This window comes from Homo sapiens, chromosome 8, assembly GCF_000001405.40.
Source record: "Homo sapiens chromosome 8, GRCh38.p14 Primary Assembly".
Lineage (NCBI taxonomy): Eukaryota > Metazoa > Chordata > Mammalia > Primates > Hominidae > Homo > Homo sapiens.
Window position 1 is genome coordinate 20,197,155 of NC_000008.11, and position 24,883 is coordinate 20,222,037.

The window sequence follows — 24,883 nt, forward strand, 5'->3', positions numbered from 1 at the left end:
TCCCCTCTTTCGCTTCCCTTCCCTCTGCGCCCGCGCGCGCCTCCCAGCACGCTGGTCAGCTCCTCTTGCTCGCAAGCAGGTCTGGCCCCAGCGGCGCGAAGTCACGAGGCTGGGGGCGGCCGGCGGCGAAGGGGGCGGGGCGAGGCCGGGGCGCCGCAGCGCGCATAGGCGGAGCCTCGGGCCGCGGGCCGCCTTGGTATATCTGCGCGTGCGCGGCGTCGCTGCTGGGCCAGTCGGGACAGAGGAGACAAGATGGCGCTGCGGGCGATGCGGGGGATTGTCAACGGGGCCGCACCCGAGCTACCCGTGCCCACCGGTGGGCCGGCGGTGGGAGCTCGGGAGCAGGCGCTGGCAGTCAGTCGGAACTACCTCTCCCAGCCTCGCCTCAGTGAGTATCAGAGAGTAATACGTCTCCGGTCTTTGCTCCCTAGCCTAGCCCTTTGCTCCCAGTCACCTGCTTAGCCAGCGGGTAGGGGGTAGGATTTGTTTTTCCCTCCCGCGTCTCCCCTCCGACCCTGACCCACTTGTCTCTTTAGAAGGAGATTTGCCTGTACCTAATATTTCCAGGAGATGGGCTGAGGGCAAGAGCACCAGCGGGAACTTTTTCCTGGGGTTGGTGGGCTCCTGGCTGTTGCCCTACCCCCTCCCCTCCCCAGCTTCCCTAGGCTGGAGCCTTCTTAGGCACTTGCTTCCCGTCCCCGAGGGCCACTTCTTGCCACTCCGATCTTAATCTTCCCCTGACTTCATTTGGATATCTAGGGGTCGAGGGAACGCCCCTTCTCCCCTCCCCCTGGTGAGGACCTCAATGGGGTCTTCAACTCCTGCGGAGGGCAGACGGTAGAGCCTTCGCTGACGTGGTCAGGCCTTTCGTGGATGGAGGTCAGGCCAGTAGCCAGAGGGAGATGTGGCTTGGTGTTTGGTGGAGGGGCTGCTCCGCAGAAGGACACCTAGATATCAGAGAACGCTAGAGCTGAAAAGTACCTTGCAGGTCATCCAGTCCAACCCTATCATTTTACAGGTGAGAAGCCTAAGGTTCTGGAAGGGGTAGGATTTGCCATGCTTCAGACACTTAATTATTGGCAGAGCAGGGACTAAAAATCCAGGTTCTTAAATTCTCGCTGGGCCTTTTTCTACCGTTGCCTCTTCATTTACTGACCAGTTAACCAAACTTGGTTGAGTGCAGGGTTCTTTGGGGAAGCCAGGTGGCTTTGCCCATAGGTGGTGTGTGTGCATAGGCTTGTTTAAATGTTGTGATTTTTTAAATAAAAAGGCCTTAATGAACTAGGTTTAAGTGGATAGCTCAGCAATTCCAAAAGAAATGGTTCTTGATTACTAGAGAATGCAGTTGTGTAGCATCCAACTTCTTCACAGCTTTCTTCGGAACTGGCAATGAGCCCTCGAAATAGACTTTTTAAAAAACTGGGAAAAGCACATGATGTTTCCCCAGGTGGTGAGACTGCATTTTCACTGGTTAATTGCCAGAGTGTCTGTCTCTAGGTGGCCGACTGATTAAAAAGGATTTCAGATGAAGGGTGTTAGTCTGGGCGATCTGAAGCCTGACTAATCCACATCCTGATCTGTCACTGGGTCATGTGATAGCACTGCAGTGTGAAGAAAAAGGAAAACATTTGATTCGGTGGATTGCTGAGATGTGCCTTTTACAGTAACTGGGAATTGTTCGAATTAGAAAATGTATGTTGGGACTTATCTGAGCTGAAGTAGCTACTTCAGGAAATCGGCAGATGTTGCATTCTTATGCAAACCTTGGCAATAAATTTATACCTACGAATTACAAATTCTCTTTTATTAATTGCGTTTGTATGCATTGCCTTTCTTTGGGTAGAACAGATAGACATTAGTGGTGCCTCTCAAAAAAGGTTATAAAGGTGCAGTAGTCAGTTTCCATATAATTAATCATTCAGTGTCAATTCAGAGAATATCAACTGAAATAACGTTGTTTAAAGAGTACTCCATGATTAAGATTGTAAACCTTTAAGAGAGATGAATATGATTTCTCCATGGTTTGTACGTACTTACCCAGTTGCTGAGGGATTTTTCCAGACGTTATTCTTGACAAAACTGTTGTAGCATAGGGCTTCACACTCAACTGTTAGATGTCAGGGATCCTTTTTATGTCCCCACTGCCTAGCACAGTGCCTGACACATAGAATGTGTCTTGTAATTGTGTAACTTGCATTTAAACTCCTTGCTCGAATAATTCAGTGGATAGATTGTGAACATGGGTGGAATCAGAGCAGGGAGTTGAAATGCCCGGTCGAGTTGAGTTTCACTTATATATCCGTGTTATTCTAAAAAGCATAAATGATATCATACTTAGGCTAACAACTAACAGCATTTGAATATCTTCTTATTTTGCCATATTTTTTATTCTACTCAAAAGTTTTAATTGCTTCTGAGTAAATATTGATTAACCTCTTAATTTTTGTGGGTTTTTTTTTTTTTTTTTTTTTTGAGATGGAGTCTCGCTCTGTCACCCAGGCTGGAGTGCAGAGTGGCGCGATCTAGGCTCGCTGCAACCTCCGCCTTCCAGATTCGAGCAATTCTCCTGCGTCAGCCTTTCGAGTAGCTGGGACTACGGGCGCACGCCGCCATGCCCGGCTAATTTTTTGTATTTTAGTAGAGACGGGATTTCACCGTGTTTCCCAGGCTGGTGGCGAACTCCTGAGCTCAGGCAATCCGCCTACCTAGGCCTCCCAAAGTGCTGGGATAACAGGCATGAGCCACCACGCCCAGCCAACCTCTTAATTTTTGTAAATTGATTGTAATTTTTTGTGAATTGATTGATGTTATCATTTAAGGGGACATGTAATTATAGTTATTGTGTGTGTGTGTGTGTGTGTGTGTTGAGACAGGGTCTCACTCTGTTGCCTAGGCTGGAGTGCAGTGGTGTGAGCTCAGGTCACTGCAACCTCCACATCTCAGGCTCAAGCGATCCTCCCACCTCAGCCTCTCAAGTATCTGGGACTACAGACGGACACCACTACGTCCAGCTAATTTTTTTTAATTTTTATTTTTTATTTTTGGTAGAGATGGGATTTCCCCATGTTGCCCAGGCTGGTCTACAACTCCTGAGCTCAAGAGATCCGCCCGCCATGGCCTCTCAAAGTGCTGGGATTACAGGTGTGAGCTGCTGTGCCCAGCCTAAAGCTTCACACTGAACCTTTAGAAGTCAGAGATCCTTTTTGTGTCCCCACTGCCTAGCACAGTGCCTGACACATAGAATGTGCCTTGTAATTGTGTAACTTGCATTTAAACTCAAAAAGCTTTGTTTTTTGAATGAAGAAATGGAGTAATGTTGACAGTTCCACTGTACAAATTAGATCCTTTTAAAAAATAGCTTCAAGATTATAGGACTTTTAAAAGAAATGGAAAACATATTCAGGCTTGAAATTAGGAAATTATCTTGAGCATTTTAGTTGAATTTCTGAAGTCACAAGGAATGAAAACTTGATTTTCTCTTAAAAGAAAAGATTCAACAACATACATAGAGCTTTCGGGTGCTATGTATTTTGAATTTGGTCATCTCCATTTTTCTTGAGACCCTAGATCAACTGGCCTTAAGTTTCTTATATCATAAAGCAGAGCCAGCCCTGCAAAAAGTCAAAATAGGAATCTTCTCCTTGCTTTTTTCCTAGAACCTCTTCTTCAGGTGCTCACTGCTCATCATGCAGATCTCTACTCTTCTTGTACAAGGGAAGATGATTGCTCTGGGTTTTTGTTTTGCTAATAAGGCAGAGGCTAAAAGACTAGGACACTTATTATGCAATGGCTGTCAACTTTTTCTGAGTATTTCGTAATCATTAAATGGTGTTACTAGTGTTGAGCAATATCCTATCCTGCAGGAGGAAGAGGATGTCATCTGATAAAATATGTGCTCCTTAAAACCCGTGTAGATTTTGGGTTTTAGATGTTACTTCATAAATACTTGTCTGGCTCATATGATAGTTCAGAATCAAAGCCAAGACATTTTGGTTGTAAAATATGTTAAGAAGGTAATATAAGCATATATCTTCTGTGTTGTCAGAAGTTCTGATTATCCCCCATTCACACACCTACGGGCTCAAATTCTTTTTCATTTGGAGAGGAGTGGTCAATATGTAGGTAAATAGAAATATTTAGGTAATTTACAAATGGGTTTTTTCCTGTTTTGAAGGGCAACTTAATGTCTTTGACAGCCATAGTTTAAACTGGTATCTCTGTTTTGGGCTGTTAATGGTAATGGTGAGGAAGGCTGGATAAATCTAGAGATAAAAGGTAGTGTTTGTTATCATTCTGCTTGGTTTTCTTTGCAGATAGTTTTAGTACCATGGAGAAGAGCTGTAGTTTTATACAAATTGTCTTTTTGTCCCCACTTGTAGTCCAAGTGCTAGAAGCTGTATGATCTCCATACTTTTTAATTGTACTGAAGACTAAGGCCAGAAATATTATAAGGGTCATAGAGTACCAATCCTAAGATTAAAGAAAAACAAAACAGTTAGAAGCCTGGCTCCCCCATTTAAAAACAAACTTATCAGGGCCTTAGTTTCCTTAGGGTGCATCAGCCTTGCCTACTGTCTTAGCCATTTTCTGCTCCTTTTAACAGAAAACCTGAAACTGGGTAATTTATAAAGAAAGGGAATTTATTTCTTAAAGTTCTGGAGTCTGGGAAGGCCAAAGTGGAGGGGCCGCATCTGGTGAGAGCCTTCTTTCTGGTGGGACTTGAAAGAGTCCCAGGGTGGTTCAGGGCATCACATGGTGAGGGGGCTGAGAATGCAGGGGCACTAGCTCAGGTCTCTCTTCCTTTTGTAAAGCCACCAGTTACCTTCACATGATAATTCATTAACCCATGAATGGATTCATCCATTCATAAGAGCAGAGCCCTCATGACCCATTCCCCTCTTAGAGGCCTCACCTGTCAGTACTGCCACATTGGGGATGAAGTTTATTGCCTGGTGCGTTAAAAAGTAAAAACCTGTTTTGCATACCTAAAATTGCAGGCTTGTGAAATTGTTTTGGGTGGTATCGCTTCATAATTCTTACAAGATACCATACCACAAAAAATGAACCAGTTCAGTTTTAGAATTTGGGCTGTAGTAGAGTCAAAGAATAAGTGGCTTTGGAGCTAGAGTGTACACATTCAGATCCTTGGGCTGGTTGCTTGTGTCCTTGGGCAAGACACAATAATTTCTCTGAGAATAATTTTTCTCTTCTAAAACTTAGAATAATGATAGCTAACTCTGTCTGTTATGGAGATTAAATGAGAATTCCTGAAAAGTACTTATTAAATGTATGATAGTGTTATCAATTAACTTGCAAGGTTACTTACTAACTTTTTAAAAGGCTGGATACGTTGTTCCAAATTTAGAGACTTTTGATGAAGTAGAATCTTGTCTTCTGTAGTAGATGTCAATTTGAGTCACTGTTTCCAGGAAAAGCTATGACTAGTGTTTCTTTTTCTTGGTCATACTTTTGCTCGTGACTGGCAAAATTTCATAGTTTGGAATGAGCTTGAATTTTAAACATGAGATTCTAAAGCAGTATTGTTGTAGAAATCAGACCTATAAAGGAGATACAATCTTGTTGAAAAAATAAAGAGAATTTTAAGAACCTGGTGTATTTTACTGATGTTGCATTTTATTCAAAACAGTTAATCATAAATCTCAATACCATATCCCCTCCCTCACCCCAGCTGTTTGGTAAAGGTTTTGGAAAGGTCTACGTTTCTGCATTTCTGAAAACTGGTTTCAAGAAAACATATTTCTAATGTAGCTCACTTTCCATTTCCACATGGCAATTTTAGAAAGCCATTGTAAAAAAAATGCTGGGAGTCTTTAAAATGAGAACAATGAAGAAATCTTTTAAAGGGTTGGAATTATGTTTTTTAAGAGTATTCAATCATTTTAAAACAGTAGGGATGGTTTTCATAAAAGTGGCAGAAAATGTGGCAAATGGGGTCTTTCTAGTAATCTAGGGGAATGATTAATCCTTTCACATGACCATCCATCCAAGTAGCTTGCTTTTTATCTAAAGTGGGGAAAAAAAAATACAGTTCAGTTGGGGGGCCTCTATTGAGACAGTTGCAGTACAATTACTGATGTATTCAAGCAAATATGTGATGTCTGGATTTAAACGTCCTGTTAGCAGGAAAGATGGAAGCCCTGACAGTGCTGTCTGCTCTGTCCCAGCATTTTTACCAGGGCTCTGGCTTCCCCGCCTGAGGCTGAAGGAATTGTAATTTTAAATTCCAAAGCCACTTGAGTGGACAGACTGGTTAGTAAATGGTTTCCTCATGCTTGGGAGTCCACATCTGTGCCAGGAATCTCTGTGCAAGCTCATTATAAGACCTCAAAAGAAATCAAGCAAGTGAAAAATTCCCAGTTGCTAGACAGCTTCATGTTAATTATTTTAGGCCTTATAGTAAATTTTCTTCAAAACTTTAGTTCATGTATTTTTTTTCAGTTGTTCTGCTTATGAAATTTAGTGAATTTTGTAGGTGTCTGGTAGAATTACTCTCCCCTGAGTGTTCTTATACCTGATCCCCATTTCACTTGCCATGCAGGTGTGATAGGTGAGGGCTTTGGGTAGGACCTGCTGGGGTAGAATTAGCTGTTTATTCCTAGGGCGCACTTTGCAGTGGAAAACAACAGTCTCTAACCTGGCAGTAACGTTTGACTTTTTTTAAAAGGATCCTTTTCTTATCTTGTTTGACCCCCTGGCCTTTCTTTCCATTGCCTACTCCGTCCTTCAGAAGCTCTTTTCCCTAGTTTTTATGACACCATTTAATTGTGGCTTTTTACCTTGCAGGCTATACAATTTCTCCAATTTCCTTTGTGACTTTTGTCACTTCTGCGTAACATTAAGGATTCCCTTTCCTCATCTACTTAGCTAAATGCTGCGTCCTCTATAAAGTTTTTACTTTTCTCCCTGAGGTGAGAACTATTCCCCTGTTTCTGCTGTGCTCCCACAAACCCTGTGCAGGCCATAGTTAGAGCCCTTATCTCATCACATTCTAACTCCACCCCCTCGCATAAGACTGAACTTTTGAGACAAGCAGAGTCTTTCCCTCTGTGTCTTGTTTTTGTATGCTGGGTGCTTACAACAATGACTTACTAAGGATTCAAAATATTTTTGGTTGGATGACAGTGGATTATGAAAAGTTGTATAGGCACAGATGTAGTTTATAAATGCATTGAAAAATTTTGTAGCTATTTGAGTGTACCGTATTCTAATAGACATGATAACGTAGAAAGGATTTTTGGTAATGCCAGAGAGCTAATTTAAGCTTTTGTGCTATTTGACTAAAACTGACTCTTCTGTATTTCTTTCCAGCATACAAGACAGTATCTGGAGTCAATGGTCCACTAGTGATCTTAGATCATGTTAAGGTAATACCACTATCTGTTTTGGTCTATTTATGTAGTTAAAAATGTGGCATTAAGTCCTATTTAGTATACTTTAAATTTTTGTTATGATTTTTAAGCCATACTTTAGACTGGGTGTCAGTCAGTCTAAAGCCCAGATACCATGATACCCTGGGCTATCAGATACCCTGGGCTAAGATTTTTGCCTGAGCTGTTTGACCAAAATATCATCCAAGAAAATAATTTCCATAATATGTTTTCTAGAACAGTAATTGTACATTGGTTACAGGGGTGGGTCAGGGAGAGGCATACAATTACTAGTTTGTTGAGAGAGGTTAATGATGCATTTGTGCTTGGCGTGTGACCCCTCTGGAAGTAGAAAATACATTGAGAAACACTTCTTAAAAGAAGGGGCAAAGTGCATTGCCTCTTCTGCTTTATCACTAAGGTAATATCTTTCTGTATGATAAGGCACCTGTAGAAACTAATCTCAAGATGAAACCTAGTGAGTTTACCTCCTGACTGCAGTTTGATATGTGCTGCAGATTGATTCAAAGCCATAATCAAACTGAAGTTGTACAAGATTTAGGCAGGTGCCCATTAACGTTTTGTAAAAGAATACAGCCTCCTCTTTTGTTTTCTGGGGAAAATATTAGGAAGCTTTGTTTGTTTCTTTATATTTTAATTGTTTTCTATATTCTTTGTGAAATAAACTTTTGGACTCATTTTTAAAATATAAATTTTTTAAATATTAGTAAGTATATTATTGAAACAGCTCAAAAAATATTTGGGCTCAATTGTGTTAAGTGCTGAGCCCAGTACAGAAAATATAATGGTGGACAACGAGAACGGGGTCTCCCCTAGTTGAGCATAGTATAGTGGAGATGCAGATATAGTATCAATGTCTCATTGGTACGCGCTGTGAAGAGGCAGTTAGGGTGCTGTGAAAGATGATACTGGGAAGGACTTAGAAACCGTCTCTGAGGAAGTAATTTTAAGAGACCTAAAAAAGTTTCATTGAATGTTACATTGGGTTGTAGTTATAGGTGAGGGAAGACTGGTAAATCATTTTTATGTAGTTGTAGAAAAATCTATTTAGACTATGAGATTGATAGTGATTTGATTTTAGATTTTGGCTTTTGTTTTTAACATAAAACATATAGGATCAAGGAACAGATAATCTCAGGCAAATTATATCAGAATAGAAGAAGATGAAGCACTGCTGCCAACTAATTTTGTGAAGTTAAAGTATCTTTGACTCCAAACCAGAAAAAGGATAGTATTAGAAAAGAAAAATAGCTGTTCTCACTTATAAACACAGATCCCAAAATTCTTAATGCATTCATGTTAGATATTAGCAAAATACCTATGTAAAATATCAGCAAAAGTAGATAATTTGATATTAGAAAATCTAACAATGTAATTCAACACATTCATGGATTAAACTAGAAAAAGCTTATATTCTTCTCAATAAATACAGAAAAAAAATTTGATGAAATTACTCATTTTTTAAAAAGCCTCTTCGAAAATAAGGAATATAACAAACTTTTAACCTCTTAGTGAGTATCTACCACAACCTGCAGCAAATCAAGTACTTAGAAGATTCTATAAACATTCCCATTGAAATCAGTGAAAGGAAAATAACTATTCCCTCTCTACTGCTGTTCTCAGTATGTACTTCACTTCTGACACCAGATGTGTGTGTTTTTTCCTATAACAATTCAGTTCTTTGGGGAACACCTATTGGATGCCCTGCAATTTAGCTCAGTTCTGGCACTCACTGCAAAGAGTTGTGTGTACCCCATAGGTTAAGGGCTTAGTCCCACAAGACTGCAGTCCACTTCAGATGCCAATCAAAAGTAGTGGGTCCCCAGGTTACCCACAGCTACTGTCCAACTCGGCTACAGATTGAGGATACCCTTCTGAAGTTTGATAATTTGCTAGAATAGGTTACAGAACTCAGGAAAACCATTTACTTACTATTACTGATTTAGGGTATATTAATATATTAATATTACCACTACTGTTAAGGTTATATTAAAGGATACAAATGAATAGCCAGCTGAAGAGATGATCATAGAGTGAGGCCCTGAAGAGTCCCGAGCACAGAAGCTTCTGTCCCCGTGGAGCTGGGGTGGACCACCTTCCTGACACATGGATGCATTCTTGCTGCCGAACCCAGAAACTCTCCAAACACCCTCAGTTAGGATTTTTTTTGAAGACCTAAGCATGACTGGTCAAGTCCTTAGCAGCGGTGATTAGTCAATTTCCAGTACCGCTACTCTGTCAGGAAGTCAGGGGATGGGGCTGAAATTTCCAATCCTCACTCAGCATCACTATCCATCTTTCTGCTAAAAACTTACCCAGTGCTATGGGGAAAAGAAATTAGGGTACAAAGCGATTAGAAGGGAAAAGGAACCGCCATCATCATTTCTTGATAATCTGATTAATGAATCAGAAAACCCAAGTCATCCAGTGGCAGACAATTAGAAACAAGGTAGCAAACAAGGTAGTGGATACAGGATCAGTTTACAAAAATTTTTAGTGTTCTGTATGCCAGAGTAACTATTTACAGAAAACTATAAAACATTGTGAAAGACCATAAAAGAAGACCTAAAATAAGTGAAGATTCCATGTTCATGAAGGAAAAGACTCAATTCTCCCCAATTAACACAATCAGGGAAGAGTAATTAAAAATGAGGATTTGGTTCAGTAATAAGCAGATATAACAGTGGAACAAAATTTAGGGCCCTGAAATCAACTCTTCACACATGAGAATTCGACTTGGTAAATCAACATTACAAGGCCATGGGGGACACTGTGCTGCTCAGAATATTGTTAGGGCAATTGGTTTCCCATATAAAAATGAGAAATATAAAATTAGTTACCAAAATTCCAGATGAATTAAAGATCTAAATATAGAAAAGGAAACATAAGTCTAATAGAAGACAATACAGAAGACCGTTTTTGGGTGCAGCACACCAGCATGGCACATGTATACATATGTAACTAACCTGCACATTGTGCGCATGTACCCTAAAACTTAAAGTATAATAATAATAAAATAAAATAAAAAAGAAAAGACCGTTTTTATGACTTCAGGCTGTTTTCCAAACAAGACACAAAAGACATAAATTTGTAAAGGACCACAGTATGTTTTATTATGTAAAAAGTGTTGTGCACATGTATCCTAAAACTTAAAGTATAAAAAAAAAAAAGTGTTAAAACTTTTGTATGAAGAGATACCATAAGCAAAATTAAAAGATATGAAGGAGAGTAAGAAAAGATATTTGTACAAGGATTAATATAGAGAATCTATAAAACTTCTATAAATGAATAAGAAGGATTTACTTGATAAGTAAGAAAAGGATATTAATAAGCAATTCATAGGAAATGAAGTCTGACTTATCAGTAATATGAATGAATAATTGACAATGATAAGCATGGGAAGTTCCTCAGTATTGGTACAAGTTAGGAAAATGCAAACTAAAATGATGCTGTTTTTATTAAAATGGCAAAAATTACTTTTAAAAGCATAGATTGGCAAAGATGGAGGGAAAGGATACTTTTTTATATAGCTAGGGAGAGTGTAAATTAATAAGGTTCCTTTGCAGAGTTAATTTGGCAGAAAATGGGCATGGCCTGTATGTGGCCCACCAAATGGCTTTGGGAAATTCTGGCATGCTTGTATGAGGAGCCCCATACAAGAATGCTCATTGTAACATTTCTGTGCTAGTGTAAATTTGGAACAACCTAGAACTCCACTGGTAAAAGAACAGCTGAATGAAAGGTAGTGTAGTTATCTGATTTAACTATATCTGCTCTGTTTTAACATTAATACTAAGGTGCCCATATCTCCAAAGGGTCTTAAAGCAATGGCACATCATAGTTTAATTGGCAGGTTTCTCTTTTCACATCACACAAAATAATGATGCATCTTTCAATAAATTATGTTGATAAAATAAGTATTAACATGCCAAATGTCATGTTAATATCAGGTCAAGTGAAAAACAAATTGCGGAGTGATTAGTACGTTGCCATTTATGTAAATCACCAAACTTCATTTTTTGGAGACATGTCTTTTTAAAGAGTAAAAATGGATTAGAGGAATATATATCTTGTTAGGAGAACTAGATTGAGGATGAGACTTAAGCATTATCTTATTATAATAGTAATTATTATTTAGTAACTTTCTTTTTTTTTTTTTTTTGAGACAGAGTCTTTTTCTATCAGCCAGGCTGGAGTACAGTGGCACGATCTTGGCTCACTGCAACCTCCGTCTCCCCGGCTCAAGCAGTTCTGCCCCAGACTCCTGAGTAGCTGGGATTACAGGCCTGTGCCACCATGCCTGGCTAATTTTTTATTTTTAAAAAATTAAAAATAAAATTTCACCATGTTGGCCAGGCTGGTCTCGAACTCCTGACTTCAGATTATCTGCCCATCTTAGCTTCCCAAAGTGCTGGGATTACAGGTGTGAGCCACCGCGCCTAGCCTATTTAGTAACATTTTATTCTTCCCCTGTCAACCACATCTGGAGCACACAGTTGATTACACACACAGCCTAGAAAGCAATCATCATTTCTAGGTGGTGAGAACATGTTTATCTGTACTTTTCTGTAGCCTCAAAACTATAAAATATGCATGCAGAGGAAAAGCAATACATTTAATTCCCATGTTTTCATGGATTTAAGACCCTTCTTCTGTACCTTATGCTTTGTTTGCTAGTATATGTGACAGTGATGTTTGCTGTAAGGACTTAAACTACCTGAGGGTATTGAAAGCTCTCAGCAAAAACCTGTGTCTGTGAAGAGTAGAGGGTTCCATATTCAGACACAACATGGGAGAGACAGAGCATGTGTAGTAATTTGGGGGGCTTGTAAAATGTCGGATATTGATCCTTTATTTTTTTCTCTTTAGTTTCCCAGGTATGCTGAAATTGTCCATTTGACCTTACCGGATGGCACAAAGAGAAGTGGGCAAGTTCTGGAAGTTAGTGGTTCCAAGGCAGTAGTTCAGGTAAGTTTCAGCTGGCCAGCTGAACTGTTTCCTAGTTGCCTACACATAGGGAACACTGCTTGTTTCTTTCTGTGATGATCATTGCATAAGTGTTTTTAGAGTCTTTAGAGATTGGTTACCGGCTGCAGGGAAAGAAACTATTATTGCATGTTTTTTTGCTCAGTGTCACTTAGTCCGATAGCAACACTAGTAAGTGGCTTTTTTAAAATGGATAAAATTAAGTAGTCATGTAGAAGGAGAGAGATGAAAAGCAGAATTCACTGATGATGTGATGAAACCAACAGGATATCTGTCTGAGTTTCTTCCTTTAAATTATCTCATACATTTCCTAGTTTTAAAATGTTACCTCACTATGGGTAATGGCAATTTTCTAAAATAACATGTTCCCCTTAAAAATAGCCTAAAGCAGGGATTGGCAAGATTTCTGTAAAGGGCCAGAGAGTAAAGCTTTTAGGCTTTGTGGGGCCAACTAAATTCTCCTACATATTCTTCTTTTTCTTTCTTTCTTTTTTTTGAAACAACCCTTTAAAAAATATATATATATATAAACATATATATATTTATATATTTATATTTATGTATGTGTATATATATAAACATGCTTAGCTTGCTTATCAAATTTGGCCTGTAGGCATGAACCCTTGATCTAAAGGTTGACAATTTGATTTATTATCATATTTCTTTGCTCATTATATCAAAAGTAGTATACATTCATGGGTTTTACATTATAAGGGCTGTTTAACAGACAAATAAAATGTAAATGCCCGTGATCTAAATTACTTCTACCCTTCTCATTAATTCTTTTTCTTGATAGGTATTTGAAGGGACTTCAGGTATAGATGCTAAGAAAACGTCCTGTGAGTTTACTGGGGATATTCTCCGAACACCGGTGTCTGAGGATATGCTTGGTAAATGGATATTATTCATTCTAAGCCGAGATCTGTTTCCTTTTAAACATATTTCCATAATGTCTTTTAAAAATTATGAACATTTGAAAGTCAGCATCTACTCTGTCCTGTCTTCTTACTGATTTCTAGGTCGGGTATTCAATGGATCGGGAAAACCCATTGACAGAGGTCCTGTTGTACTGGCCGAAGACTTCCTTGATATCATGGGTAGGTACAGTAGATGGATTGCTGTGTTTGGGAGAAAATAACCTCACTCTGTCTTGTACCTTTGCCAGATAGAGAGTGTTTTTTGTGATATCACTTAAAGTAGATAGGCAACACGCTCCATAGGTTATAAATTATTTTATTATTTAATTATATTTTCTTAGAAATTATCGTAAAATTTTATGTATTAATATCTTAAGATACTGTAAAATATCTAGGATATATCTGAAATGTATATGGTAAAACCATGAATTTGAAATTAGGACTTCTCTCTTATTTGCTATATCTTTATTTTACTTTAGGAACTTGAATTCTATTACCCTATGTTTTGTGAGTCTACAAAAGAGTAAAGGAAAAAATTATTTCAAGTTTCATATTTGAAAAATAACTGATTTTTTTTGTAGTAAAGAGATGCTTTATGTAGTTCTGGTCTTCTGGTGCTTTTTCTTTTCTTTTAATTTGATATGATATCTAATTTCATTCATGAATAATGCGGCAACTTGTTGAAATTTTCCTTTTTGGAAATACATTAGGTCAGCCAATCAACCCTCAATGTCGAATCTACCCAGAGGAAATGATTCAGACTGGCATTTCGGCCATCGATGGGATGAACAGTATTGCTAGGGGGCAGAAAATTCCTATCTTCTCTGCTGCTGGGCTACCACACAATGAGGTGAGGACTGGGATCGGTTTGCTATGAAGTTTAGCAGACAAGAATTTCTATAATGCATCACTGTTACTGAGAAACCGAATAAAGGGTTTTCAAAATAAATACTCAGTGTTATTGTTTGTATAATCCAGTTACCTCACATCTTTATTTCTGCACATGTCTTCTTGCTTACCCTTGCATATCTTTGCAAAAAGTACAAAATAGTTTTGTTGAATGAATACCCTAAAACATCCTGGTTTCGTTTATGATTACGATTCCAAAAAGTTTATGGTAAAAGTTATTTTGTTGTAGAAATGTTATTTTAGATTTCAACTGAATTCTTCTACTTTGTTCATCAGATTGCAGCTCAGATCTGTCGCCAGGCTGGTTTGGTAAAGAAATCCAAAGATGTAGTAGACTACAGTGAGGAAAATTTTGCAATTGTATTTGCTGCTATGGGTGTAAGTAGAATTTTTGTTTTAGTATGATATGTAAAATTTTGCTTGTGTCGTGAGAACATTGTAGTAAGCTGTACATATATAGTTGAATTTTTCTTTAGGTAAAGAATTTGCAATCTGGCATTTTGGCCAAATTAAGGACTAAAATTTGGCATTTGACTAATTTGAAATTTAAGAATAATATTGTTTGTGCCCCAAACCGGCTCTTTGTTCTGTTGGTTTTTGTGAAGATTTTTGGGGTACTTGAGGTTTTAAAAGAAGGAACAATTCAAATCTGTAGCTTGGCTTTCATCAGAAATAAATGTTAAGGATTTTTCTTCTCCCAGCACTGATGAAGTTATTGTTATTTAGGTAAACATGGAAACTGCCCGGTTCTTCAAATCTGACTTTGAAGAAAATGGCTCAATGGACAATGTCTGCCTCTTTTTGAACTTGGCTAATGACCCAACGTAAGTAACAGAGCTATTTCTTTCTGTGGCCCAGACTCGGGATCAAAAGTGTGTCTTAAGGTTGGGGAGGTAAAATGTGGTAATAACAGCATTTGGACCTAACAATGAGGTAACCCTGTATTTAAAGTCCAGCCCTGCTTCTTGGTAGTTATCTGGCACTGGGCAAATTACTTAGGTTCTGAAGCTCATAAGATGTGACAGCTGATACTTGTCTCATGGAGTTGTTTTGCATATTAAATGAGATCATACTTATAAATTACCTAATACACAATCAACTCTCTGTAAATGATTTTTTCCTCCTACCTCAAAAATCTGGCTTTCATTTGTTTCCTCTCTCTCTCCTTCCTACCTGCCTGCCCCACCCCAGTGTTGAGAAACCATACAACTGAGAAATTTGGGACATTTATAAATAACTGTTAATACCTTACTTAAGAATTTGTAAAATAACAACTGCTTTACTCTCCTCAATTCATTTAAAACTTTAAAAGGGGAATTGTACTGTTATTTCCAGAATCATTTCTTTTTGTGTTTTCTTTTTGGTCTTTTGGTTTGAGTGGCCTAAGACTTAATGTTCCCTTTCAGCATTGAGCGAATTATCACTCCTCGCCTGGCTCTAACCACAGCTGAATTTCTGGCGTACCAATGTGAGAAACATGTATTGGTTATTCTAACAGACATGAGTTCTTATGCTGAAGCACTTCGAGAGGTAAGTTGTTCATGTTTTTCCCTCAGTTAAACAAAATTGGTTAATTTTCAGGGTTAACTTGTCACTTTGCAAGTTTTCATTCTTTATGGTTTTTTAATTCCACTGTTCATATATTAATAGAATGCCTTAATAAATCAGAAAGGAAACTACTTCGTTTTTGTCAACTTGGTAGAAGTGATTAGAGGTTAAGATTTAAATGGTTAGCCTGTTTATCATACTGTCACTATCTCCATGGATTAAGAAATGATTGTAAAAGGGAGTAAATAATTCAAGCTGTTTATTCAGTTACTCTCTCGGGAAGTTCTGTTTCTGTCCAGACTATTAATTTTTAAACCTTTTTGTAATTCCATTTTTAATGATGTTAATATTTTATAAAGACCCTACTCTCACAGTACTCTCTTCAGCACTTTTTTCTTCAGAAAACCCAGTGTTTATTTAGGAAAAATATTAAGATTCTAGCAGGCTGGGCACGGTAGCTCATTCCTGTAATCCCAGCACTTTGGGAAGCCAAGGCAGGAGGGTCACTTGGGATCAGGAGTTCAAGACCAGCCTGGGTAACATAGCAAGACCCTTTCTCCACAAAAAAATTAAGATATTGGCTGGGCGTAGTGGCACACACACTTGTAATCCTAGTTGCTCAGGAGGCTGAGGTGGGAGGATAGCTTGAGTCCAGTAATTTGAGGCTGCGGTGGGCTATGATTGTGCCACTGCCCTCCAGTCTGGGTGACAGATCGAGACCTGCTTCTTAAAGAAAGATTATAACAGTTACCCCTAGAAGTTTTGGGGTATTTGTTCAGTAATACAAATTACTGAAATTTTGAGTAAGTTACTTTTTTAAGCACATAAAAAGATTCTGAAGAGACAGGCTTCTTAAAATTCCTTCAGTGCCCTCACCATATCTTACTCTGCTATATTGCTGTTTCAGACTAACTCTAGTCAAGGACTAGTTTTTCTCCCCCATCCATCACAGACCAATACTTTTGTAAAATGCAATAAAATTGAGTTATTAGAAAAGTGAAATTTTAACTATATATATAATTTACAAATGCAGATTTTAGAATTGTTAGATTCAACAGGCATAAAATTATTCTGCCAAATTGCCCTGAAAGTTTCTAAATGCTTATCTTGCTTTCTGTGTGATCATTGCATGTTGATAACAGTTGGTCTGCAGACCGTGCTGTGAGGAGCACCGCTGTAGCACGCTCCTTTGAAGATGTCAGAGTAGCACTTAGAAGTTGGATTTCATAATGCTTTAGGGTTCTAGTTGATTGTAGGTGAACATGCACACCTATAGTCTGGTATCCATGTCTCTAAGGGAAAGATCGTTTATCACCATTCTTATTTTGTGCAGTGCAATGGACTCCTGACTTTGTGACCTTCAGAAATTGTTTAATTTTTCTGACCCTTGATTCCAACTGTTAATTGGAGGTAGCACCTTCCTCATAGGGTTGCTGTGAGGATTAAGTTAAATAATGTTGTAAAGCGCAGCAGATGATTCCTCGTGTACATTTCCTTCCCTTTTGACCTTTTTGGGATTAGGTTAGATAAATATGGCTAGTTCCACCACGTGGAATAAATCTTGTGAACCAAGAATCTTTTCTGTTTTAAAATTAACTTCCTTTGATTTATAAAATTGCAAACAGATTTTCTTCTAGCAAACTATTTGAAAACTTACATTATGGCAATACGATTTTAGCAAAAACCTTCTGGTGCCCCATTGTCAACATTTTTGTTACAGAATACTTTGAATTTATGTTGCCGGGAGATTTTTCTAAATCATTCTTAAGGACAGTATTTAAAATGAACATGATGGGATTTTCAACTTTGTACTTTGGCATGTTGAAACAAACATGTTGTAAGCAAGCTTGTTGTAATATCGTGCATGATACTCTTCTGCTTGACCTGCTGTCAGGTTTCAGCAGCCAGGGAAGAGGTACCTGGTCGACGAGGTTTTCCAGGTTACATGTATACAGATTTAGCCACGATATATGAACGCGCTGGGCGAGTGGAAGGGAGAAACGGCTCGATTACTCAAATCCCTATTCTAACCATGCCTAATGATGGTAAGTTTTGGTATTTGGATTATAACACACCTAATCATTTTAAAGAGAGAGAAGACCCATCTACCTTTTCGAGTTGAAGTTATTTTGAGAACACATCCCCTAAGAGTTTATCTTGGTTATTTGCCTAAATAAAACATTTTTCATTTGAAAATTACCCACAGTTATTATCCTATTGTGGAGGAAAAGCAATTTTCTTCATAATTTAAGTTTTTAACTTTATTAGGTACTATTGAGTGCCTGCTGTTTGCAGGACACTGTTCTAAATGTAAAGAATTTTTGAAAAGAATTTATGGTCTCTACTTAATGTAAGTTACTCAGTCTAATTGGGGATGTTTTTTATGTGTGTGCACCGGTAATTTAACATGGCCATGTTCAGTGCCACATGAGGAGTACAAGTGGGAAACTCCACAAAACTGAGAGACAGATTTTTTTAACCAAGGGCTGGTTAAAAATGACTTTCCAATGCCTGTCTGTGTGTGTGCCCAGGATGGGGTACGACTATTCAGAATTCCTCTCCTGTGTTGCCTCTTTGTCCTTATTTCAGTTTTTGAACAACACTTTGACAAAATATGGTAAGTTATTACTTACTGTAATTGAGCACTGTTCTGAGTGCTTTATAAATATTCACTCATTTGCTCCTCATAGCAACTTTGAGGCAGATGCTGTTTGAGGCACAGGGAGGTCAAATGATTTGTTGAGATTAGCAAGTGATAGATTTAGGACCCAGTTTGAGTTCATAACTCACACTGTTACTCTGTACTGCCTCTGACGTGAAAATGATTTGTTCCAAGGGAGTAGCTACAAAATGATGTAATTTAACAGATTTGGAAATGTGTTGCTTTGTGTGACCTTTTTGGTGCAGCCTGTGTAGTGTTGTTTACTTGTCTATATGCCTGCGTTTTGCATGGTGAAATGTTGTGTATCCATCCGACATAGCTTATGAACTAAGAATGTTCTTAGTATACATCAGGTTGGCAAATTTCTATAAGGGAACTTTGGGTTTAAAATGAAACTTTACTTATATTGAGAGGGGAGAGCGCTTACCTAGGGGAGAGAGTATTTTTAATGAATGCAGCCAGTTTACCTCATAGAGCCAACACATGTCTAACTGCTGCAACCAAACTAAACTGGCCAGTATGGTTGCCGCTAGCCACATTTGGCTGTTTAAGTTCAAGTTAACTGAAATAATTGAAATTAAGTTTTTCAGTTTTGTTAGCCACGTTTCAAGTGTTAGATAGCCACATTTGGCTAATGGCTACCGTACTGCACAGCACAGACACAGAACATTGGCAGCATCACAGAAAATGACTCTAAGAACACTCTTCTAAGTAATGTTACAGGTAGTACAGAGGGACTTTTTGTGGGTTTGGTTCTGAGAGATGGCCGCTTTAAAACTCATAACCTAAAGATGCCATGCTTAATGCCAACTGTCTTCCTCTGGTAGATATCACTCACCCCATCCCAGACTTGACTGGCTACATTACAGAGGGGCAGATCTATGTGGACAGACAGCTGCACAACAGACAGGTACTGGACGGGAGCAGTGCTGGGAAGCTTGCAGACCTGCTCATCCGTTATTCTTTAGTGACTTGGATTTTGCTCTTAGGAATTGCTTTGCTTAGAAAGTATCAACTTGAATTGTTTTTAATATGGTTATAAAATTGTCATTTCTATTATCTTAAATTCTGGTGTCGGCAGAGCGCCAGAATTAAGAATCTTCTTAACACTTTCCTTTATTGTGTCTTAAAACAGAGTCACTTGTCTCCAAGAACTTTTTTGGGAATTCTGTTCCATAATGGTATCATCTACCAATCTTGTTATTGATAGAAAAAAATGACTTTTCCATGCCTCTCTAGTAGATGCTGACTTCTAAAATCAGCTTTTAGGAATTATTGTTAATTTTTTTTATTTTGTGTATAATTTTTTGAGTCAGTTCAGAAGACCATTTTGACTCGATAATGTGGTAGTACTTATCAAACAGATGTTGAAAGTTGAGTTTTTTAAAATAGTCTTGTACAGTGTTATAGATGACACTTTTTTGGATTTGATTCTCGAAAGAAATGCTATGCTATAAAGTGTTTCTTACTACCTTTTCTTGCCAGGAAGAGACAGTAGGATTCATCTAGGAGACAAATGCAGCGGTTGTCTTTGATTTAAGTTGTAATAATGAGTTTCAAATGTTTTTTTATTACCAGTAAAACTTGAGTTTTGTACTTAAATATAGTATTTTTTCCCTCTCATTCTACCCAAGATTTATCCACCTATCAATGTGCTGCCCTCACTATCACGGTTAATGAAGTCTGCTATTGGAGAAGGGATGACCAGGAAGGATCATGCCGATGTATCTAACCAGCTAGTATGTACATTCTTCTAAGAATGGTGTTTGAAAATATGGATACGTTTCTGCTGTCTTACACCTCTTGTCTTTCACCCTTACCACTTCTCTCTTCCCCATCCACATGGAATTTTAGTGTAGGCTTGATGTGGAATACATAATCATTCATTAGAACCAAAGCAGCCTTTTCCCATAAGGACAGATGCAAATGATCAAGATTAGCTTGAAACCCATGTCTAATGCTATCAAGTTTCCAAATAAAAAGCCAAGCAATGAGGTTGTTTAAATTTTTTATTAGCAATTTTAATGTTAATTATAGAGTATTCCTGAAAGGCTACTCTGACCTATTTCTTGCTTAACATATTAAGCCGTCACCAGAACACTAAAGTATACAGTTTTATGTAGGCTCTGAAATCCTTGATTTTTATACTCATATAAGATTGTACACTAACACAAATAAAGAAAAACACTATGGCCATAAAGTAGAAATGGTAAACTTAGCGATATCACAGATTTTTTTTGAATAGAACTTCAAGATGGATTTCTCCATGGTTTAACTATGAGTTCTGATTTTCAAGTGCTCTATAAATTTTGAGCTCATTAACATATTGAAGAAGTGTGCGTTTTGTAGAACATTAGGAGTGTCTTGTGTATTGTATGCCTGAAGACTCCTTTCTGAGTGAGAATATAGTCCTTCTGGTACTTTCATATGAATTTTATGTGAATTGTTTTTGTAAATTCCTTCTATGGGCTCTTGTGAGGAGAACTAGAGCAGTACATTCCTATATCCCAGATGACTGAACATTTTGAGAGCTTCTCTCTGCTGATGGGTGCCTTTCTTCTCTTTAGTATGCGTGCTATGCTATTGGAAAGGATGTGCAAGCCATGAAAGCTGTCGTTGGAGAAGAAGCCCTTACCTCAGATGATCTTCTCTACTTGGAATTTCTGCAGAAGTTTGAGAGGAACTTCATTGCTCAGGGTAAGATGACTGTTGGCTTACAAACATAAAAAGCCTCATATGTAATTTTGAAAACTGCTTTCCAAGCCTAAGAAAATTCTCATTGGTTTCTATATAGTTATTTCTCTGGTTAGAGAAGAGGCTCTGTCACCTGCCTGCCTTAACCCTCTGGCTTCTCCTCTGCCTTCTAAACATCTTGGGAGATCTTGACTTGATTTTCCAGTTACTCAGCTACCATCTCACTGTTTTCCTTCTTCCATCGCCCTTCTGAATCCTCCTTCCCAGCCCCTCTGCGGTACAACTTCATTGCCAGTTCTCCTTGCTGCTAACTTCTTAGCAATGATCTGCTTTGACATTTGGGGCTTGGGACTTTCCTGATTCATCTATATTCATCTCTTTTTCTCATTTCTTACCTTCCTGCCTCTTAATTGTTAGTAATCCAAAAAGCTCAGTTACCTGTTCTTTCTGCTTTCCCTCCCAGCGTCCACTTTTCACTGTGCTGTGGGCTCTATGATGTGTGGACCTTTACCCACTGTCCAGACCTCTGATTCCACAATCTCCAGCTGCCTTAGGAACACCGTTGTTGTTTATGCCACCATCCCCTCAGGCTCAGTGTACTCAGAACCAAAGTTTTTTTTCCAGCTGACCTGCCTAGCAGTGCCCTTTCAATTTTTATCTACCTCTGCTATAATCATTGTCCCAGTTAACTCAAGCTCAGTAACTGGGCATTATTCTTAACCTTCTTTGCTTATTGTCCATTGATCAATTATTTACTAATTTGTGTTGTTTTCTTTTGAAATATCTTACCCTATTCAGTTTTTATTTCCATTATAATGCCTTAGTCCTGTATTTCTTAAACTTTAATATGCTTTTGAATCAGCTGGAGATCTTGTTAAAATGCAGATTCAGATGCAGCAGACCTTGGTGGGGACAGAGATTTTGCATTTCTGTGAATTCCTGGGTGATGTTGAAGCTGCTGGTCTCTGACCACTCTTGAGTCCAAAGGCTCTAGTCCAAACCTTTGTCCCATCACCCTTGGCCATTGGTGCCAACTTTTTCACCACTCTTCTTGACTCTTTGTGTGCCATTGCCAGGGTAAATATATTACTAATTTTATTGGTTGTCCCTCTACTAAAAAAACCTGTAGTGGTTTTTATGACATAGCATAGGCAGGATTTTCAAGCTGTTTTGCTTGGTCTCTCCCATCACCCCTGCTAATGCTAGTGATACTCTCTTAACATCGGTGGTTACAACAGGTGTGTTTACTTTGGAATAAATGCATCAGGCTGTACACTTAGGATGTGCACCTTTCCAGTTATATGATACATTATTAATATTCAAATCCCCAAAATATTCATGATTATTGGAATTTTTTTAATGCAGAACCTGAATATCTTAAACAAAATAAAGTTTTCCTCTAGAGAAAAGAACCCAGACCTCCAGCCTTGGACTCAAAGAATAAGATTTATTTGTGGGGATAAGGATGATTCTGCCATCAAAAATAATTTTAACAACTTGGGAAACCACTGACCTTCAGATAGTGATACTCTGGAGAGGGTTGCATGTATTCAGGTGCTTGACTGGCATTTATGTCCTTCTGAGCATCTGTGTTAGTCGCCTTCAAATTCAGCCTTTTCTCTTTGTGTGAACCTTCTGTGCTAGGGAGACTTTTCTTACTAATCTCTGGACAAAACATTGATTCTAGTTTCCATTGCTCAAGTATCCTACCCAGTTGTCAAATCTCAGATCTGTCTCACCATCCTCTCCCGCAAGACTGCTCCCTGTCTCAGCCCAGCCGCCTCTTCCCTCTTCTCTGGTTCCTTATGATACTCACTGTCTGTGCCTTCTTTTCCTCAGTCCTTCTCATTTAGTCTTGGGAGTCCCAACTTTTTTTTTTCAATATCTATTTAATACACTGCTAGTCATATAACAATACATACTGGATAACACTGCTAAGTTGGAAGTCATTTGCATTTATTAATTCAATCTCAATTTTTTAAGGTCCTTACGAAAATCGCACTGTCTTTGAGACTTTGGACATTGGCTGGCAGCTACTCCGAATCTTCCCCAAAGAAATGCTGAAGAGAATCCCTCAGAGCACCCTCAGCGAATTTTACCCTCGAGACTCTGCAAAGCATTAGCTGCTGCTTCTGCATTGCTCCGCGCTCTTGTGAAATACTGGTTCTGTTTTCTTTATTCCTTTTGCACTCTCGGTTCCCACCTTTGTGTTGGAGTTTACCATGTTACCCTGTAATTAAAAACAAAGAATAGGTAACATATTGTGCCAGTGTTGCAACGTTTTAAACTGCTAACAGACCTTAAAATATCCCCCTACCTGGGTCCTCAGTGCTATGTTTAAAGTGCTGCAGGGATGGAGTGGCGTTTTCTTATTGCTGTATGTATTGTACATAGTGGAGTAGTTAGTTACCTGATAACAGTCTTGTTATTTGGGTCTCTTAGACCTTACCTCTCAACTCCCTCAAGAGTACCAGTCTCTGAAGTTATAATGCTTTGGTCTCTACATTAGGGGCAAGATCCAGTCTGAGAGAAGTCTCCTTTGAGAAGGGCCAAGAGGCTCTTTCCTGAGTGTTTGCTTTCGGTTTGTTGGTATGCCTGTATTGCTGGGCTGTGCTGCTGCTCGAAGCAGATGGTTTTGACTGTCTTTTTGCTCTTTCCTATATAATGAATAGATGAGTGAAAGGAGTTTTCTTTTTCTCTTTAGTACTTACGTATTGGGATTCCTGTGTCTTACAGCTCTCCCTCTCCAAATAATACACAGAATCCTGCAACTTTTTGCACAGCTGGTATCTGTCTGGTAGCAGTGAGACCCCTTGTCTTGGTGATCCTTACTGGGTTTCCAAGCAGAGGAGTCACATGATTACAATTGCCAGTAGAGTTGTTGTTTGGGGTACAAGATGAGAAGAAAGAAAAACCTACAGCCTTTCTACATTCTGACATGCTAACAGTGGTTTAAGTTTCTAAAGTGTTTACCAGATGCTGAAGGCAAGGGGAGGGAGCAGAAGCACTTATGTTTACGGATATTTTAAACTCTGTTAGAGAGCAGCCTTTGAAAATCCCCAATTTGGTTCTGCTTTTTGACCTCTCTCTACCTTTTCAGGGTAATCTTTGTGGCACAAACGATAGCATTTCCAAGCTTTAGAGTTTTCTGAATTCCTGCGCCTTCCTGACGTGAGCCCTGAGCGATCTTCTATGCAGTTCTGCCATGCGTCCTGTTGGTCTCTCTGTGTTCTTTGTTACTTGGGTGCAATAGCAACTTCCCTACCCCGTGCATTCCATCTTTCATGTTGTGTAAAGTTCTTCACTTTTTTCTCTGAGGGCTGGGGGTTGGGGGAGTCAGCATGATTATATTTTAATGTAGAAAATGTGACATCTGGATATAAAATGAAAATAAATGTTAAATTAAATGGACCTTAACTAAAGTGACTCTCTATCTTCTAACGAGGAAAGCAACAAGCAAATATGTAATCACACATCTCTTCAATTCACAGCTCTGAGCATCATAACCAGGATTGGGAACCAGCCCTTGTGTTGCAGGGACATGGCTTCCACACTGCCCTTGTCATTCTTTTTGGTACTGTCCCTTACAGCATGCTGTAGTTTGATCCAGGGCTGAGCATTCCTACAGGTGCTCCCCAGCGTTCCTCATTTCAGGCCTAGTCAGGACCTCTAGAGCCCATCTGCTGTGAGCAAAAGAGGGTGCTAAATAGTGAAATACAGCTTGAAGCAAGCCAAAACCTGTTTCACATAAAATCTCA

At 38.8% G+C, this 24,883-nt stretch overlaps 1 protein-coding gene across 1 annotated transcript, besides 1 other annotated feature; it reads left to right on the forward strand.

Annotated features, from left to right (window-relative positions):
• Positions 1–280: a silencer, noted in NCBI's record as "silent region_18971". NCBI's record gives its function as "represses an Ori minimal core promoter by ATAC-STARR-seq in GM12878 lymphoblastoid cells {active_cell/tissue: GM12878}" and the evidence as "EXISTENCE:reporter gene assay evidence [ECO:0000049][PMID:35858748]".
• ATP6V1B2 (ATPase H+ transporting V1 subunit B2) lies at positions 227–24,542 on the forward strand. Its single transcript, NM_001693.4, has 14 exons — positions 227–388; positions 7,330–7,385; positions 12,279–12,377; positions 13,192–13,285; positions 13,415–13,492; positions 14,023–14,162; positions 14,498–14,599; positions 14,948–15,045; positions 15,628–15,751; positions 17,664–17,814; positions 19,259–19,341; positions 20,066–20,170; positions 20,999–21,128; positions 23,109–24,542. Exons 1-14 carry the CDS (start codon positions 253–255, stop codon positions 23,246–23,248), a joined length of 1,536 nt encoding a protein of 511 aa, NP_001684.2. The 5' UTR covers positions 227–252; the 3' UTR covers positions 23,249–24,542.

Excerpts from the sequence above, each read along its gene's own strand:
- ATP6V1B2 (NM_001693.4), top strand. The coding sequence starts at position 253 with ATGGCGCTGCGGGCGATGCGGGGGATTGTCAACGGGGCCGCACCCGAG. Across the intron at positions 13,286-13,414 it reads GGTGTCTGAGGATATGCTTG|GTCGGGTATTCAATGGATCG; the intron begins GTAAATGGATAT and ends ACTGATTTCTAG. Across the intron at positions 17,815-19,258 it reads TCTAACCATGCCTAATGATG|ATATCACTCACCCCATCCCA; the intron begins GTAAGTTTTGGT and ends TTCCTCTGGTAG.